This window comes from Homo sapiens, chromosome 4 (assembly GCF_000001405.40).
Source record: "Homo sapiens chromosome 4, GRCh38.p14 Primary Assembly".
In the NCBI taxonomy this organism is placed as follows: Eukaryota; Metazoa; Chordata; class Mammalia; order Primates; family Hominidae; genus Homo; species Homo sapiens.
Genome location: NC_000004.12, coordinates 107277648 through 107298096, shown reverse-complemented (window position 1 = coordinate 107298096; position 20449 = coordinate 107277648). Strand labels below are relative to the sequence as shown.

The 20449-nt window shown below is 37.8% G+C and overlaps 1 long non-coding RNA gene across 2 annotated transcripts in view, besides 1 other annotated feature; it reads right to left on the bottom strand.

The window, feature by feature from the left end:
• The window catches only part of LOC102725220 (uncharacterized), a 43302-nt gene that overhangs the window by 3779 nt on the left and 19074 nt on the right, over positions 1–20449 (bottom strand). Inside the window, exon 1 of one of the 2 annotated variants that reach the window (NR_188366.1) lies at positions 11354–11547. The exons of the other annotated variant lie outside the window; for it this stretch is intronic. This is a non-coding gene — a long non-coding RNA (uncharacterized LOC102725220). Of the gene's footprint in view, positions 1–11353; positions 11548–20449 lie in introns of those variants that run through there. 2 annotated transcript variants of the gene reach the window in all.
• Positions 6961–7486: an enhancer, noted in NCBI's record as "NANOG hESC enhancer chr4:108211768-108212293 (GRCh37/hg19 assembly coordinates)". NCBI's record gives its function as "activates a minimal SCP1, AML or CMV promoter by ChIP-STARR-seq in naive and primed H9 embryonic stem cells {active_cell/tissue: H9 hESC(naive and primed)}" and the evidence as "EXISTENCE:reporter gene assay evidence [ECO:0000049][PMID:30033119]".

Sequence of the window (20449 nt, the reverse complement as noted above, 5' to 3'; positions counted from 1 at the left end):
GTAAAGATTCTAAATGGGAGGATTAGGGTTAAACTCGAGGAATAGAAAGATGAAGTAAGAGGTTGTGATAGATTTTCTGATTGTTCTCCAAATTTGCTGCCTCTTTCTGTTTGAGGATTATATGTCTGCTTAGCGGATGTCAGGTTTGACCTTGTGTGACTTACTTAGACAAAAGAGAAGTGAGTGGATGCATGCCCCTTTGAAGTGGAAGCTTTAAGAACCATTGCAGATGTTGCCATCTTTGTTCTTCTTCTACAAGGTGATCAGCCTATTTCAGATAGGTGTTGCCAGTGAGGTCCATGCAATGTGAGGGAGAAATTAATTTTTGTTGTTGAAAGCCACAAGGATTTTTTTTTCTGCAGCATAACCTAACAAAAGCTGATTAATAAAGGTCAAAAGTGAGCAAGCAAGAATATTGTGGACAAGTCCGGGGCTGGCTTAAGATGAAGCTTAAGAACAAGAGTTCTGGTCTCTGGGTTTCTCCTAATGTTGTACCTGCCAGACTGTGTGCTTCTCTACAGTGCAGTGTGGTATCATGGTTATAAAAATATGGACTAGGCATCAAGCAGTAGCTCCTCTACTCAATAGGCACATTATTTAATGTCTCTTTCCCTTTGTACTTCAGCTTGCTCTGCAATTGGGATAACAAAACCTACCTCCTGGCGATTGTCATAAGGATTGAGCAAAGTAATAAGTGCTTCACAGACTCTCTGGCACACAGAAAGCACAAAGTAAATAGTAACTATAGTCATTATTTTAGTTTTACACAATGAAATATGCTTAAAATTGAGAATACATGAAAGGTTAATGCATATAACCCATTCAATGAAGGAATACATTTTAATGAAATTACTATAATAGATATTTGCTCAGTTTTTACCTAAGCACTTACTATGATGGCTGTTTAGCTAGTTCAATGGTGCTTCTCAAAAAATAGAAATAGATACATGGTTTTCCAAGTTAAATGTATGGTTTATTGTACATTATGACATTGGCATTGACTTTCATTTATTAAAGCAAAGTATTGTTTATTTTACTGCCACAAGACAAAGCTAACTGATTAGCCTCTGATGAGTGGTAGAATAATTGATAAGAGTACCAGACCTATTGTAAAGGATGGAGAATAGTTTTTAGAATAGGAAAACATGAATTTAAGCAAACATGTGTGGTAGGCAAAATAATGCCTTCCCTAAATATGTCCACATTCAATCTTTAGAATTTGTGAATATGTTAGGTTATACAGAAAAGGAAATTAAAGATGTAGATAGAATTAAGTTTGCAAATCAGCTGACTTTGAGATGAGAATAGCCTAGGTTATACAGATGGATTCAATCTAATCAGAAATTGCCTTATAAGTGAGAGAGAAAGGCAGCTGAGGGAAAACCCGAATGATGGCTATTTGAGAAAGATTTGGGCTGACATATTGGCTTGAAGACAGAAGGAGATCTTGAGCCAAGGAATGTGGGTAGCTTCTTGAAGCTATTAGGTTGGTGCAGAAGTAATTGCAGTTTTTACCGTTACTTTCAATGACAAACCACAATTACTTTTGCACCAACCTAATAGAAGAGGCAAAGAAATAGATTCTCCCTTATGGTCTCCAGAAGGAACAGCTCTGCAAACACCTTGATTTTAGCCCACTGAGACCTTTCAACAAATAGAGCTAAAAATTTAGATATCCACTTGAAAATAACAGATTTGAATCTATAATTAATTAAATTGAAAAGGAATAATAGACCTAAGTGTAAAAGCTAAAACTATAAAACTTTCAGAAGAAAACATAGGAGGATGACCTTGTGTTGGGCAAAGATTTCTTAGATACCACATTAAAAGTAAAGTCTATATAAAATAAATTAGACTTCATCAAAATTTAAAACTTTTGATGTTTTGAAAAGAATCCATAAGAGAATGGAAGATAATTCATATTCGATGACAAATGTTTGCAAACTTTACATCTGATGAAGTCCTTTTATTAAGAATGTGTAGAAAACTCAAAATTCAATGAGAAAATAAACCAATTAAATCTGTGTAAAATATTTGAATAGACATGTCATCAAAGAAAATACCTTAATAATAAATAAGCACATAAAAATATGCTCAATAGAGAAATGCAAATTAAAACCACAATGTCATACTATTACTACACCTCTATTAGAATAGCTAAAATTAAAGAACTGACCATAGCACATGTTGACAAAGATGTGGAGGAACTGGAATTCCCAGACACTGTTGGTGGGAATTTGAATAGTCTGAGCCCAAGCTAAGCCATCATATCCCCTGTGACCTGCACGTATACATCCAAATGGCCTGAAGCAACTGAAGAATCACAAAAGAAGTGAAAATGGCTGGTTTCTGCCTTAACTGATGACATTACCTTGTGAAATTCCTTCTCCTGGCTCAGAAGCTCCCCCACTGAGCACCTTGTGACCCCTGCCTCTGCTCACCAGAGAACAACCCTTTGACTGTAATTTTCCATTACCTACCCAAATCCTATAAAACTGCCCAACCCCTATCTCCCTTCACTGACTCCTTTTTTGGACTCAGCTCACCTACACCCAGGTGATTAAAATCTTTATTGCTCATACAAAGCCTGTTTGATGGTCTCTTCACACGGACGTGCATGACATTTGGTGTTGAAGACCTGGGACAGGAGGACTCCTTTGGGAGACCAGTCCTCTGTCCTTGTCCTCACTCTGTGAGGAGATCCACCTACGATCTCGGGTCCTCAGACCAAACAGCCCAAGGAACATCTTACCAATTTCAAATCAGATAAGCAGTCTTTTCACTCTCTTCTCCAGCCTCTCTTGCACCCTTCTATCTCCCTCTGTCGCTACCCTTCAATCCCCCTGTCCTTCCAATTCCAGTTCTTTTTCCTCTCTAGTAGCGACAAAGGAGACACATTTTATCCATGGACCCAAAACTCCAGTGCCAGTCACGGACTTGGGAAGACGGTCTTCCCTTGGTGTCTAATCACTACGGGGATGCCTGCCTGATTATTCACCCACACTGCATTGGTGTCTGATCACCACAGGGATGCCTGTCTTGGTCATTCACCCACATTCCCTTGGTGGCAAGTCAATTGCGGGGATGCCTGCTTTGGCTGCTCACCATCCCCCTTCTCCATGTCTCTACCCTCTCTTTTCTCTGGGCTTGCCTCCTTCACTATGGGCAACCTTCCACCCTCCATTACCCCTTCTCCTTTAGCCTGTGTTCTCAAAAACTTAAAACCTCTTTGACTCTTACTTGATCTAAAATCTAAGCGTCTTATTTTCTTCTGCAACACCGCTTGGCCCCAGTACAAACTCGATAATTGTTCTAAATAGCCAGAAAATGGCACTTTGGATTTCTCCATTTTACAAGATCTGGATGATTTTTGTTGAAAAATGGGCAAATGGTTCTGAGATGCCTGATGTCCAGGCATCCTTTTACACATTGGTCCCTCCCTAGCCTCTGCTCCCAATGTGACTTGTCCCAAATCTTTCTTCTTTCTCTCCTGTCTGTTCCTTCAGTCTCCACTCCAAGCTCTGAGTCCTTTGAATCCTCCTTTTCTACGGACCCATCCGACCTCTCCACTCCTCCCCAGGCTGCTCCTCACCAGGCCGAGCCTGGCCCCAATTCTTCCTCAGCCCTCAGCCTCCACTCCCCCACCCTATAGTCCTTTTATCACCTTCCCTCCTCACACCCAGTCTGGCTTACAGTTTCATTCGTCAACTAGCCCTCCCCCACCTGCCCAACAATTTCCTCTTGAAGAGGTGGCTGAAGCTGAAGGCATAGCCAAAGTTAATGCTCCTTTTCCTTTATCTGACATCTCCCAAATCAGTTAGAATTTAGGCTCTTTTTCATCAAACATAAAAACTCAACCCAGTTCATGGCCCATTTGGCAACACCCCTTAGACGCTTTACCGCCCTAGACTCAGAGGGGCCAGAAGGCTCTCTTATTCTCAATATTCATTTTATTACCCAACCAGCTCCCGACATTAGAAAAAGCTCTAAAAATTAGATTCTGACCTTCAAACCCTGCAACAGGACTTAACTAACCTCGCCATCAAGGTGTACAATAAAAGAGGCAGCCAAGTAGCAACGTATTTCTGAGTTGCAATTACTTGCCTCCACTGTGAGAGAAACCCCAGCCACATCTACAGCACACAAGAACTTCAAAATGCCTGAACCACAGTGGCCAGGCATTCCTCCAGGACTGCCTCCCCCAGGATCTTGCTTCAAGTGCTGGAAATCTGGCCACTGGGCCAAGGAATGCCCACAGCCAAGGTTTTCTCCTAAGCCATGTCCCATCTGTGTGGGACCCCACTGGAAATCGGACTGTCCAACTCACCTGGCAGCCACTCCCAGAGCCCCTGGAACTCTGGCCCAAGGCTCCCTGACTGACTCCTTCCCGGATCTTCTCAGCTTAGCGGCTGAAGATTGATGCTGCCCAATTGCCTTGGAAGCCTCCTGGACCATCACAGACACTTTGGGTAACTCTTACAATGAAGAGTAGGTCTGTCCTCTTCTTAATCAATATGGAGGCTACCCACTCCACATTACCTTCTTTTCAAGGGCCTGTTTCCCTTGCCTCCATAACTGCTGTGGTATTGACGGCCAGGCTTCTAAACCTCTTAAAACTCCCCAACTCTGGTGCCAATTTAGACAATATTCTTTTATACACTCCTTTTTAGTTATCCCCACCTGCCCAGCTCCCTTATTAACTCAAGATATTTTAACTAAATTATCTGCTTCCCTGACTATTCCTGTACGACAGCCACACCTTATTGCCACCCTTTTCCCCAGTTCATAGCCTCCTTTGCATCCTCCCCTTGTGTCTCCCTACCTTAATCCACAAGTATGGGACACCTCTACTTCCTCCTTGGTGACCCATCAGGCATGCCTTACGATCCCATTAAAACCTAATCACTCTTACCTGGCTCAATGCCAGTACCACATCCCACAACAGACTTTACGAGGACTAAAGCCTGCTATCACTTGCCTGTTACAACACGGCCTTTTAAAGCCTACACATTCTCCTTACAACTCCCCTACCCCACCTGTCCAGAAACTGGACAAATCTTATGGGCTAGTTCAGGATATTCACCTTATCTGCAGCACCTCTTACAAATCTTCCCAACAGGACACACTCCTGCTCCTCCAATATCTATTCTCAAAGGGATATCACATATCCCCCTCCAAAGCCTAAGTTTCTTCCTCATCTATTACCTATCTCTGCATAATTCTTCATAAAAACACATGTGCTCTCCCTACTGATTGTGTGTGGCTAATCTCCAAACCTCAACCCCTTCTACAAAACAACAGCTCTTTTCCTCGTAGGCATGGCTAGGTACTTTTGCCTTTGGATACCTAGTTTTACCATCCTGACTAAACCATTATATAAACTCACAGAAGGAAACATAGCTGACCCCATACATCCTAAATCCTTTCTCCACTCCTTTCTCCATTCCTTAAAAACAGCCCTAGAAGCTGCTTCCACACTAGCTCTCCCTAACTCATCCCAACTCTTTTCATTACACACAGCCAAAGTACAGGGCTATGCAGTTGGAATTCCTTACACAAAAGCCAGGACCGAGCCCTGTAGCCTTTCTGTCCAAACAACTTGACCTCACAGTTTTGGGCAAGCCCTCATATCTCTGTGTGGCAAAGGGACTATGTGTCAATATCTACACTGATTCCAAGTATGTCTTCCACATCCTTCACCACCATGCTATTACATGGGCAGAAAGAAGTTTCCTCACTACACAAGGGTCCTCCATCATTAATACCTCTTTAATAAAAACTCTTCTCAAGGCTGCTTTACTTCCAAAAAAAAAAAAAAGCTGGAGTCATTCACTGCAAAGGCCATTAAAGGGCCTCAGACCCCATTGCTCAAGGCAACAATTATGCTGATAAGATAGCTAAAAAAGCAGCCAATATTCCTACTTCTGTCCCTCATGGCCAGTTTTTCTCCTCATCAGTCACTCCTATTTACTCTCCCACTGAAGTTTCCACCTATCGATCCCTCACCACTCAAGGCAGATGGTTCTTAGACCAAAAAAGAATCTCCTTCCAGCCTCACAAGCCCGTTCTATTCTGTCGTCATTTCATTACCTCTTCCATGTAGGTTACAAGCCGCTAGCCCACCTCTTAGAACCAACCTCTCATTTCCTTTCCATCATAGGACTCTATCCTCAATGAAATCACTTCTCAGTGTTTCATCTGCTATTCTACTACTCCTTGGGGATTGTTCAGGCCCCCTCTCTTCCCTACACATCAAGCTCAGGGATTTGCCCCTGCCCAGGACTGGCAAATTGACTTTATTCACATGCCCCTAGTCAGGAAACTAAAATACCTCTTTGTCTGGGTACATACTTTCACTAGATGGGTAGAGGCCTTTCCCACATGGTCTGAAAAGGCCACAGTGGTCATTTCTTCCCTTCTGTAAGACATAATACCTCGGTTTGGCCTTCCCACCTCTATACAGTCCAATAATGGACCGGACTTTATTAGTCAAATCAGCTAAGCAGTTTCTCAGGCTCTTGGTATTCAATGGAAATTTCATACCCCTTACCGTCCTCAATCTTCAGGAAAGGTAGAACGGGACTAATGGTCTTTTAAAAACACACCTCACCAAGCTCAGCCTCCAACTTAAAAAGGAGGACTCTGTCAAGGATAGAGCCCCAAAATTCACCAACCAAGCAAGATATTATGCTGAACCCCCTTGGGCACTCTCTAATTGGATGTCCTGGGTCCTCCCAATTCTTAGTCCTTTGATACCTGTTTTTCTCCTTCTCTTATTTGGACCTTGTGCCTTCTGTTTAGTTTCTCAATTCATACAAAACCGCATCCAGGCGATCACCAATCATTCTGTATGACAAATGCTCCTTCTAACAACCCCACAATATCACCCCTTACCACAAAATCTTCCTTCAGCTTAATTTCTCCCACTCTAGGTTCCCATGCCACCCCAATCCTGCTCGAAACAGCCATGAAAAAAATCGCCCATTATCTCTCCATATCACCCCCCAAAATTTTCACTGCCCCAATGCTTCAACACTATTTTGTTTTATTTTTCTTATTTTTCTTATTAATATAAGAAGACAGGAATGTCAGGCCTCTGAGCCCAAGCTAAGCCATCATATCCCCTGTGACCTGCACGTATACATCCAAATGGCCTGAAGCAACTGAAGAATCACAAAAGAAGTGAAAATGGCTGATTCCTGCCTTAATTGATGACATTCCACCATTGTGATTTGTTCCTACCCCACCTAAACTGAGCAATTAACCTTGTGAAATTCCTTCTCCTGGCTCAGAAGCTCCCCCACTGAGCACCTTGTGACTCCTGCCCCTTCCCACCAGAGAACAACCCCTTTGACTGTAATTTTCTGCTACTACCCAAATCCTATAAAACTGCCCAACCCCTATCTCCCTTCGCTGACTCCTTTTTCGGACTTAGCCCACCTGCACCCAGGTGATCAAAAAGCTTTATTGCTCACACAAAGCCTGTTTGGTGACCTCTGCACATGGATGTGCATGACAGAATAATAGACCTAAACATAAAAGCTAAAACTATAAAACTTTAAGAAAAAACATAGGAGAATGATGTTGTGTCGGGCAAAGATTTCTTAGATACCACATTAAAAGTAAAGTCCATATAAAATAAATTAGACTTCATCAAAATTTAAAACTTTTGATGTTTTGAAAAGAATCCATAAGAGAATGGAAGACAATTCATATTCTGTGAGAAATGTTTGCAAACTTTATATCTGATGAAGGCCTTTTATTCAGAATGTGTAGAAAATTCAAAATGCAATAAGAAAATAAACCAATCAAATCTGTGTAAAATATTTGAATAGACATGTCATCAAAGAAAATACCTTGATAATAAATAAGCACATAAAAATATGCTCAATAGAGAAATGCAAATTAAAACTACAATGTCATACTATTACTACACATCTATTAGAATAGCTAAAATTAAAGAACTGACCATAGAACATGTTAACAAAGATGTGGAGGAACTGGAATTCCCATACATTATTGGTGGGAATTTGAATAGTAAAACCACTTTGCAAAGTTATTTGGCAGTTTCTTAAAATGTTAAACTTAAAAAAACCCAAATGTTCAGTAACAGGTAATTGAAAAAACAAATCGTGTTATGTCAATGTAGTGGAACACTGCCCAGCAATGAAAAGCAGAAAACTACTGGTACACACAGTATGAGTGAATCTCCAAATAATTATACTGAGCAAAATAAGCTGGACAAGAAAAAAGGATATAGTGTATGATCCCATTTATAAAAAGCTCCAGGAAATATAAATTATTTTATAGTGACAGATAGCAGATTGATGGTGGCCTGGGGATGGCACAGAGAGTGGAGAGGAGGAAGGAAGGAAGACAAAGAGGCACAAAGAAAGTGTTAAGGGTGATAGATATGCTTCTTTAAAAAAAACAAAAAACTTTTATTTTAAGTTTGGGGTACAAGCACAGGTTTGCTACATAGGTAAAATTGTGTCATGGGGGTTTTCTGTACAGATTTTTTCATCACCCAGGTATTAAACCTAGTACCCATTAGTTATTTTTCCTGATCATCTCCCTCCTTTCACCCTCCACCCTCTGAGAGGCCCCAGTGAGTGTTGTTCCCCTCTATGTGTCCCTGTGTGCTCATCATGAAATCAACCTAAATGCCCATCAATGATAGACTGGGTGAAACAATTCTGGTACATAAACACCATGGAATACAATGCAGCCATAAAAAAGAAAGAGATCATGTCCTTTAAAGGGACATGAATGGATCTAGAGGCCATTATCGTTAGCAAACTAACACAGGAACAGAGAACCAAATATGCTCACTCTTTTGATTATAGGAATGGCTGCCTAGGTGAATTCATATGCCACAACCGATTAACTGTAAACCTTATATATGCTCACTTTATTTTATATCAATTATATTTCAGTAATTAGAGAAAAAGATACTGTCCTTTTCTAATCCTTGCATAATGGCAAAGCATAAGACCATCTGGGAATACAAAAAAAAAATTGAGTCTGGGTTGACCCTTGGGTTTAACAATATGATTTCTCATTTAATTGAATTGTGAGACTAACAGAAGTTAAAAAAAATCTATACACACATTCATACTCACTCATGCGTACATTTTTTGGGACCAGCTCTTTCTCTTTATCTCCATCTAGCCGTTTCATGTGAGAATCTGCTAGCATTTTACAGAAATAATTAATTTTTGGATTCCCAGTTTAAAGATTTTAAGTAGTAATCTAATTCAGCATGCAATTAATGTTTTATGAACCACTGGGATTTTCAAGTAGCAATTTTCCATAGTAGGATTTTTGAATTTCTGGCCCAACAGGAATCACTCTGGTTTTTGTCTTTGTACATCAGATGGCAGGAATCCCCAACCTTTCTGTGAAGCAGCTCTACAAATATATTTTGGCTAAGCCATTTACAAACTAAAATTACCCAGAAAAAAAGATGTGCAGTCAAGTCACCCACCATAGGCAACATGGTGAAACCCCATCTCTACAAAAAAAAAAATACAAAAATTAGCTAGGCATGGTGATACACACTAGTGGTTCCAGCTATGTGGGAGGCTGAGGTGGGAGGATTGCTTAAGTGCAGGAGATGAAGGTTGCTGTGATCCAAGATCATGCCACTGCACTCTAGCTTGGGTGACAGAGTGAGAACGTCTAAAAAAAAAAAGGAGGTAATACATATTTAAATTAGTCTATTACTTATCTTTTCTTTTTTGTGCTTCCTTTTTGTTCTCCGGGGGCAACTTCTCTGTTAAGTCTCCTTAAAGCTATTGCTTCTTTTACTAACTTGATGATATATTTCATACTTGTATTTTCTGTCGTTACCTAGCTGTTTTAAGTTTCTAAATTTTTAGACTGATTTACAATTCATGTATTTTTGTGGCATTTTGTAAATTATGCATCATCTCTGGTCTTTAAAAGGCATCATGTTACAAGCGTGCTGCAGTGACTTGGTGACAACTAACTCTTCCCAAGTCAACATGTGCTTTACACAAAAACAGTATGTCTTGCATCCTAAGCTTCTTTCATAGTCTGTACGTTCTCGCTCCCCTCCCCTCTCTCTCACTCTTTCTCTCACGCTCACTTTCTTCCTACTTTAAATTATAGTTCCATGTTATGCTGTTTTTCTCAGAGTCAGCCTAAACAAAATGCTTTTTATTGTTTTATGGGCAGTTGTTTCCTCTAAGTACTGATAACTCAATTATCCCGCCCAATCATATACTTGTGCCTGATTATTGCAAATCCTAAACTTCGTGGGTTTTTTTTTTTTTTTGACATTTATGGCCTTATAGCAAGTGATTGCCATGCAGAATAATTAAAATTACATTAGTGATGTTGGTAATTGACTTCATTGCCTAGATCCGTAAGCTCTCTCTGGTTTGGGAGGTAATGGAATTTAAAGTTTTGCCAGCTAGGCTTTCAACTTTGGCATTTTCAGATTGAAAGATGAAGACACCCCATATGAAGTATTCTTGACTTTCCTTATCTCTTCCTCAAAGAGAGTACTAATCTTGAAACAATAGGTGAAGATTTGATTGCTACAAATGCTTAGGTTTTGGGGGCAGGTTACCAGGAGAGATCCATTGTAAAAATGCTGACCTAATAGGTAACTTCACAAACACGGGCTTCATCTAAGATCTTAGTGCATTAATAAAATTAGACAATTTTAAAGTAGTCCAGCATAGGATAGTTTATGAGGTTATACAAAGCCTCTTGTTTATTTTTATTAAAATTATAAATTTAAATGAAATAAAAATTATATTTTCATGAAGCCACTCATTACATAACTATCCATCTTTGACACATTGTTACCTGTAACCTGTTGTTTAAAAAATGTTTATGGGTATATAGTTGTGTGTGTGTGTATATATATGCATATATACGTGTGTATATATACACATACAGATACACCTACTTATATATATGTATATACACCTACACATGTATAGGGTTTCTGTTTCTCACTTTTGCTACTCTTTCAAATATATAAGCTATATACACACACACATAAATATGGGAGAAGCAAAGTGGACACCTACCCCATATATATATATATAAATAAAATAAGACAATTTCAAAGTAGTCAGCATAGGATATAAGTATGGGGTACATGAGACATTTTGATACGGGCATGCAATGTGAAGTAAGCACATCGTGGATAATGGGGTATCCATCCCATCAAACATTTATCTTTTGAGTTACAAATAATCTAATTACATTCTTTAAGTTATTTTGAAATATACATTAAGTTATTGACTATAGTCACCCTATTGTGCTATCAAATTGTAACTTGTTTTGTTCTCAGTGAAAAGTGAAATAAAATTACCTGGAATGTTCATAAAGATGGAACTATCATTAGAAGAGTATTGTAAGAATGAGGGCTTTGTGTTTGATAGCCTAGTTAAATGGAAGCCTTAGTTGACTCCATGTTTTATGTTAAGTGAGTTATTTAAGCTCCTGATCCTCTGTTCCTCAATTCTAAAATAGACGTCACAATAGTTAACTATGAGATAATGATCTCATAGGGTTTTTGTTAGTATTGAATGAGATAATGTAAATAAATTGGCTAGAAAAGTGACTGACCTGTGAATGTTAATTGTTATTTTTAACAAATATCCTTACAATGTTACAAATATTTGCTTTACTCTGTTTGATAATGTAGCCTCTCTGGTTCATAAACTCCCATCAGTAAAATAAAGGAGTTGGATTAAATTTTTTTTCAAAATCATGCTAGTTGTTTCGAAAGGATTTTACTGGTCTTCTCTCAGTTACAGAATTAGAGTTTTCCAGGGGATGGTATTTTATCTCTCTTTTGCTTCTCATAATTTAGTTGGAAGATAGTCTCTACTCATCTGAAATCTGATAATGATTTCTATATTGATTTTAGTTAGCCTTTTTGTACAAGAGACACGTATATTTAATCTTAATTATTCAGTCTTTTGGCTTTAATTTTATAAAACCTCATTCTCTGGTCAACACTTTGGACAATCTCCCTTTTATTTTATTTTATTTTTTCTTCCCTGCTTACACAAAGTTAATGTACAGCTATCTTGAAGAAAAGCATGTAGGACATTTTTAAAATCTGTGCAGAGATTGTGGGATTTAAGCAATAGATTTATCTGTGGTTTGGGATTCTTTCTTTCCTCAGATGTTATAATCCATCTTCCAGTTTTCCTAGTCTCTTAATCCTGAAGTACATTGTTAGCTTTAATTTTTTTTCCTGAGAGTTGGAGTTTGCCTCCACTTTGCTTCTCCCTTATTGCCCTGGCACCCGCACCCCATGCCAATTCTCTGTGTACTGGCATTTGAATGGTTTTCTATCTTGACCTGGAAAATGTTAAAGTATTCAATAGAGCACTACCTTAACATGCAAAAGAGCAACAGCAGCTAAAACAAATAGGGGATTATTTTTCTCATGTAGGAAAAAGTCTGGAAAGAAGTAAGTCTATGCTGGTGCAGTGGCTTGGTGACATCAGTAAAGACTCAGGTGCTCTTCACCTTTCTGCTCTGCTCTCCTTGGTGGTTTGGCTTCTCAACTCCATGATACTGTTGCCTTCTAGGGATCAGGGCATCACATTTGCTTTCAAAGCAGGAAAGCGACAGAAGAGTAGAACCAGTCACAAATACCTCTTTCATTGGAAAGCAAATTAAAAAGGATGCTTGTGGCCAACATTGTTGGCTCACTAAATATTCATTCCCAACCCCTTCTGCTTTGCCACCTTCCCTCATAAAGGATTAAAAACCTAAATACTCATTTTTTTTTCTACTTCCCAGAGAACAAGGAATGGCCATGTGGCACAATATGACCAATAAGACATAAGAGAAGAAAAATCTGTTGGGGGTAAAAAAGACTGGCTTCTGGCACCTGCGCCCCTGAAAATACAAGTTGAATTGTGCCTTTACTAAAATGGTTATACAAAGTAATACCTTATCATATCTTTCAGTCTAAGACCAATTAGAGTTGGAGTCAAATGTAATTCTCACTCCATTCATTTTTTTTAAATAAACATTGTAAGTTCTCTCTTCACATTAAAGAGCATGGATTGGACAAAACCCACAGAAAAGGCTTAATGCTAATTTGCTTTGTTACTTCTTTCACAGTTCTCCTTTCAATTTTATTTTGTTTTACTTCATTTATGTCTATAAGGGACCTTTGCATATGCAGGATATTTTTGAGAACTCTGTAGGCACAAGATGTCTCTTAGTCTGAGTTATGATAAACTGAATGGTTTTGCAGTATGAAAAAAGTCATATCTTAAATTATTTAATGAACACACAATAATTTGTGTATTATGATTTTACATCCATAACTCATGTGTTTGCATATTTGGTGGAGGTTACCTTATACAATTTTGGGACTTTTTAATGTCAATTTATGTTAAAAAATCCACTTCTATTGGATCTTTTCTATCTGATTACCATCTAATTGGATGTTTTATATCTAATTTATATCTATGAGATGTTTTATATCTAAAATCTTATTATCTATTGTCTTATAGCTTATATATTTGAAAGAGTGGCAAAAGTGAGAAAGAGAAACCCTATGCATTTATCTTTCTCATGTTTGCTACTCTTTTTACTGGGAATAGTGTAAGGGTGTTTCTTTTTCTCATTTTCTTTGTTCCTATTCTTTCCAGGATCATCCAACCATTCAGGTATGATGTGACATCATGGTTAAGTGTATTCTTTAATTGTGTGGTTTAGTGTTCCACAACCAATATTACACTCTGGGGTTGTAAAAGTCTCTGAGTCAACATTATAGTAGAGTGGCAAGAAGCAGGATAATAGGGGACAGGAAAAGATTAAACTGGGTACCAAATTCTCGTTAAGGCTACAATATTTCTATTTCTACCAAGAGGGCAATTGTGCTGCATCTCATATTCATTTTTCACAGGGGTGTTAACCATCTGGTTCCTCTTGTTTTCCCCTTCTCACTCATTCACATCTGTTGCTTCTTCATTGTTCTACACATGCTTACATTCCATACTTGATGTTCATTTCCATAAAAATTCATATTCATGAGAATGCCTAGATTTTACCTATAGTTCTTTTAAGATAATCACAGTGAAACAGCAGCCATGGTCACAAGAAAGAGCATATAGAGATTTGACATGCTCACTGCCACGGAAATCTATGGCAAGGAATAGCTGCTGGTCATGTTTTGCCTGTCTAAACACTCATTTGAAAGGAGCACCAGAGCTAGCAGTCTGACACATCCTTCCTGGTTGGGTCACCACATTAAGTGTGCTTAGCTATTTGTAAAGCTATCTGGAGAGAAAGAGCATGTTAAATTAGAAACAGATGGGAAGAATGACACACATAGCTCTGGAATTCACAGTGCAGGGCGGCAGAGTTCAGTCAGGTTCTTGACATCCTGACAATCTTGTCTCTGCAGGAAAAGGAAAGAAAACACCTGGAGATCCTGCGTTTGGTGGTGGTAAGTTCACATTTGGGGCCATTTGCTTTCTGAGTTGCTCAGATTGGTTTCCCTCCGTTTTTCTTTAAGTGGATTTCTTCATCTGTAGTCTTTTTTCTTTCATCATCCTCACTACCCACTTCTTGCCTCCATCCTGTCATTCCTGCTACCCCCCAAATCAATTTAAGTTAAAGTAATAACTCTGGGCAACAGGTTAAAAGAAATGTAAAAATTCCCAACTTTCTTTTTCTTGGATGCTGGAGTTTCTTCATGCTCTCTGTCATTACCAAGCTTACTAAATACTATTATATTAAAAATAAAACATTCCAATTAAAATTTTATAAGGCTATATTCATATTGTCTGACTATAAAGCCAGTGAAGGGGCAAAGTGATAAGTAAAAATCAGTAGTTTTGATTTCTGTAAACAACATCTTGAGACATTTTTAGTGTCAGAGCAAATACACAAATATAAAAAGCAAATGATACCAAACAACTTACTTAGAAATTAACACATTTAACTCTATTTTTAGATATAATTATATTAAATCATTAATATGATAAAGTGTAAATGCATTTGGACATTTTCTCAGGTAGGAGGTGATGTGGTATCTTACAAATAATAATCAACTGGGAGTTAGGAGGCCTTGTGTCACATCTTGGTTTTGCTATTAACTTGCCATTTTCATTTTACTTTTTAAATAAGATGAGTGGATTTATATTAAATGTTCATTAAAATCCTGGCTAAGTTCAAGAGAACACAGTGGCCTCAAATGGGATAAGTACTTTTGGTAAGTTAATGAGGGAAGAGGGAGCTCTATGAACATTTGATTTAGGTCTGTGTTGGGGAGGTTGTCACAAAGGTTACTAACCTGTAGAGGAAGGTGTCATTAAAGAGGTAGGGTACAGAAAGGTATTTGAATAAAAAACAGTGGAGACTTTCCTGAGCTGTCACAAAAGGCAACTCAAGCTTTAAAAAGATAATAAATAAAATATCCAGGGGCAAATGGAAATTAGAAGCTGAAGTATAAGAAGAGGAAGTAAATAACAACTTAATAGGACAATCTCAAACAGAATTTTCAAGTGAACAAAAAATAACCTTTGGAAAAAATCAGATTAAGAAGATTTTTGCTTATGATTTGTTCAAAGCAACATGTCACTGCCTAAACAGTGTGTCCTTCTAAATCAGGGTTCTCAACCTCAGCACTGTTGACATTTTGAACTGAATAACTCTTTTCTTTTCTGGGGGTGATCAGGTGCATTTTAGGATGTTTAACAGCATCCTTATCTATATCCACTAGATGCTGATAACATCCATATCCTAGTCATGGGAATCAAAAATGTCTCCAGACATTGCCAAAACTGTCCCCAGTTGAGAACCACTGCTTTAAATGAATTAATAATTTTTGGGAGACCATATGGCCTAATGGTTAACAGGTTGGGCTCTGGAGACTGAGTTCCAGGACTGGATTTAAGTCCAAGTTCTATTACCTTATCCACCGTGGGCCTTGAGTGAATTACTTACAAAGTAACTGCTATTATGTGAGTTACTTCCTAAGACTCACTTTCTTAATTTGTAAAAATGGACTAATATGAGTACCTACCTGCTAGGGTTATTGTGAAGATTAAATGAGACAATACATATGGAGCATTTAGTGGTATATGGCATGAGGCGGCTTCTCAATAATGCTAGGAATTGTTCCGTTATTTGACAGTTATGAAAGGGCACCAAGTAAGAAGAGATGAACATGGTTATTTCTGAAAGCAGACTTTTGGACATCAGAGAGCCATGGCAAATAAATATCTGGATTTCATTCCACAAAAGTCTTTAGAGGAATTGGCCTGGTAAATCAGCTAGCAAATATTGTTTGATAATCTCTTCAGTGCCAAGTACTATTCTTATGTCAAGCATGTAGACATGAGCAAGATAGACAAAGTTCCTGCCTTGAAGATCTTGTGTTAAGTGGAAAGATGGAAACCTACTGCAAGTGACTTAAAACTAGTGTGCTACAGTAGCCATTGCTAGCTGTCCATCAAAGTTCATTCTCCAGTTTTTCTACCATAATAGGACATGTGGTTTCCCAACTACACTTAATTTCTAAATTTCAATACAGTACATAGTGCAGTAACCATTTGGGTAAGTTCTTTCCAATAGTCTACGAGAAGAAGTGAAGTGTGCCACTTCAGGTCTTTCTCACATGATTGTTAGTGCTTTTTATTTCTTTTTGTGAGCTGTAAAGTCACAACAATGAGTAGAGTAACCAAAGGAATCTTGGAAGTCACGTGTTAAAAATGGTGGCACTGCTGTCAGCCTGGGTCCCCAAATGACTGTGTGGAGCAAAGGCTCTTGCTTTGGCTGCAACCTGCAAGATTTGCCTGAACTATTCACTGAGAGAGAAGTTAACCATTACTGTGTTTGAGCCATTACGTTTGGGTTTATTTGTTAAGTAACTTTTGTTACCAAATGAACATAGGTGATCTAGAAAGGTTTCTGGGAGGAGAGAAAGTTTGTGCTAAAATCTGACAGAAGAAAAAAAGGCAGCCGTACGTGCATCCAGAAGATTATTTCTAGGGGGAAGAATAGCAGATGCAAGGGAGCTGTCCTTGACAAGTGACTAGAGGCTATCATTAGAGCCCCTACAATATAGAAGGTTCACACCAGAGAGTAAGGTAGGGGCATATAGATAGAAATGGCATTAGCACAAAATGCAAATATGGCCTGTGGATCTACTTGGCTTATAAGCACTCCATGATAACCGGAAATACTTCTTTCTCTTTTCCCAGATAAATAACTGGCTCAATTCTGCCCAAATCTTTTTTGGAAATGTGGCATTTTAATTAGCACATACATCTATCACCTAGTAGTTACATGTTGTTTAAATAAAAAAAAAACAATTGAACTTAAATTGAGCAAAGACCATACATGAAATCATTTGACATAGATTAGTGAGGGTTTTTCCTGCTTCATGTGATATAGATTAATAGAGAATCTATTTTTCAAGTTCTTCTAACAAAATGGCCAATTCAAGTTCTGAAGTGGCTGGAACATCCTGGTAGTTCTATGCTGTTCAAATTATCTGGAGGTCTCGAGAAGATAGATACATTTTCTGAAGTATTAGTATTTCTTTTATCAGGAAAATTCATTTGTGCTCTGTACTGTGTTGCCAACCCCCTAGTATGGCTGTTTATGTAAAATAGACAACACTTTTTGGAAACAGCTAATATAATTTAATTCTTTTAATTAACAAAAATCATATAGATGTTCTACAATACTTTTAATGTTAGGTTGAATATTCATAGATTAAATAAAATTGAAATAAGTTATAAAGAAACAACATTACTATATGCTGGCTTCTAAAATTCAGTGTAATTCTCCCTTCAAATTTCATGTGACTCAACATGAACCCTTTGGTGCACCCATCTTAGATTTGAAAATTCATTATCCCATTGACATATAAATCAGCAAGATTATTGCAAACAGATCTATGGACTTGTGGTTGAAAGGCTTGAAGGTCTGAAAAGGAAAGTGAAGAAAGTTTAGTGTGTAACACTGCAATGCTATTCTCAGTGACTTAGTCTCATAAGGAACTTATGAAGAATAATGTGTGAAGTACTGTTATCAGTGATCTTTGTATGGTTACCTTCTCCTGTTCACTGCTGTTTTCTTAATGCCAGGACACAGCTCCTGTTACATGGCAGACATAGAACAAATATTTGTTGAAAGAGAGGAAATGAATTCTTTTGTAATATAGAAGAGAATGACATACTAGGCTGATGACTCATGGTCAGATACCTAAGACTTTTGAGGGATTTGATGTTTCCCTTTAAATTTTGTTATGTGACACTGAAGATCTATTGATTCCTTAGAGAAGAATCAGGCAAATATTTTCTTTTAAAGTAGCTCTGTCCATAGATTGCATTTCCAGTTTCTATATTCTCTGCCTGTTTTTCATGGTGTATTCTAAAGAAGCACAGTCCCTTCAGATGGGTGTAGCCATAAGAGCATATCAACCAAAAGTGATCATAATGGTCTCATTTCTTGCTCTCTCTATATCTCTCTCACGGGTATGGAGTTCTTACTAAGTAGAACTAAAGATGAATCTTTGACAGAGGGTTGAACCCCAGGATGGTTTTCAGTCCCTAAATCTTTCACATCAAATTCTACAGCTTCCAGAAATCAATTTATATTCCAGCATATACTTCTTATCCACAGGAACCTTCTAAACCAGTTTAACCTGTCATCCTAACATATCTATATTTTAAAAATTCATTTGTTGCTGCAGAACATTTACTGCCGTGGTTAAGAATGAATCTACATTTTGTTTCTGTGTAGTGTTAAAATGGCAGTGGTTAGTATCAATCCGATAGCATCTGCTAGGATGTCTGGAAGGACAAAACTGACTTCTTTCAAGTCTGTTATAAAAACGAAGCAGACAGAAAGCAACTCAAACCATTTCTTAAAGTTGAAAGCTAAAAGATGCAGATGTAAATGGTGAAGATATGAGTAAAACAAATTGTATCTCTTCCCTCAGACCTTGAACTACCCTAATATACCACCTCTGTGCTTCAGACAGGAAGCAAACTCCCTTTCAGCCCTTTTTTCAAAATAAGTTTCAAATTAGTGGCTGGCACTAGGTGGGTGTTATTGAATGGAGGCCTTTTGGGTTTTGATCCTGATGATTCATCCAAAGTTTATGAAAAGTATATGTAGACATTCAGTTAAAAGGTATGTTTTGGAACACGAGATTTTAAGTTTGTTTAGGTTATTGACCATGTCTAAGCTCTGTTATGTAAATTCCAGAGGAACATCTGAGATCAAAGGAGAAAGATCCAGCTCTTTCTGTAATAGGAATACAGTTTTGTTTTCTGCAGACTCTAGCATTACTTTTTTGGGGTTTGGAAATGGCTCTTCTCCTTTTCGTAAAGTACCTTGTATGATGTCATGCAATGCTAAGTATATTTTGATTGCTATATTTTTATATAAATGGAAATTACTTGAATATAACATTTCAAACTTAAAAATTCACAGAAATGCTTATTTGAAAAGATAGCAAAATCAGTCCTGTAAATTTTTTCAAAATAAATTGATCTTTAAAAAGTTTGAGAATGCTCAGTTTTCTCATGTCTATGATCCATGCAAGGCTACCTGTGTATTTTGCTCCTTGTACGTAGATGAGATGATAATTTATTTTATCCCAAATAAATAAACAAAACAAGAACTGAAGACTTTACAGAAGTTTATGCAAGTTCTGAAATAGGGGAAAGTGATGAAGAAAGTTAAGTGTGGATTCATTGCATGTTCTCTAGATAAACTATCATTTCATTTAATGCCTCCCCTCACCACCACTTTTCTAGTCCTGGCTATTAAAATGTTGGTTCATTCTAAACAAGAGGTGGAAAATAGGCAGCAGAAAGGAAAGGAAATAAGCTAATTCAGTTAAACAACATTTTTAAAAGCTATCCTCCCAGCTAGGGCTTTGACCATTTCTACAGCCTCTGGGCCACAATATCAGTTGTTGTCAACACCATTTATGTGGAAAATTGCATTCATGTAGAGTAATTGGTTCTGACATATAATTATAACAGAATGAAGCAAAATAGCCCATCTAGAGTACTCAATACTAGAATTAGCCAGAAGTCCAGACATAATGTAAAACTCGGGAATTGCACTTCAAAACATGTATTTTAGAAGTGATGTGAGACAGGGTGTGATAAAAGGAAGGTTTAGATATTTTAAAGTTCCTATTTTTTTTAAAAGTTTCTAGGAATAGTTTCAAATATATTAAAAGAAAGAAGCAGTGGCAAAGAATGATTTTGGAATGCTAATTTTTCTTTCACCACTTTGGGACTTGAAAGATTTACTTTTCCCAATATTTAATGGACATTGACCTAGGTCATCTGGAGCTAGATATGGTGCCTTGAAATGAACACTCTGGTGGACTGCTGACAGAAAGATAGGCAGGAGCCGTGTCTACTTTTCTGATGAGAAATTTTATTTCTGCTCTTCT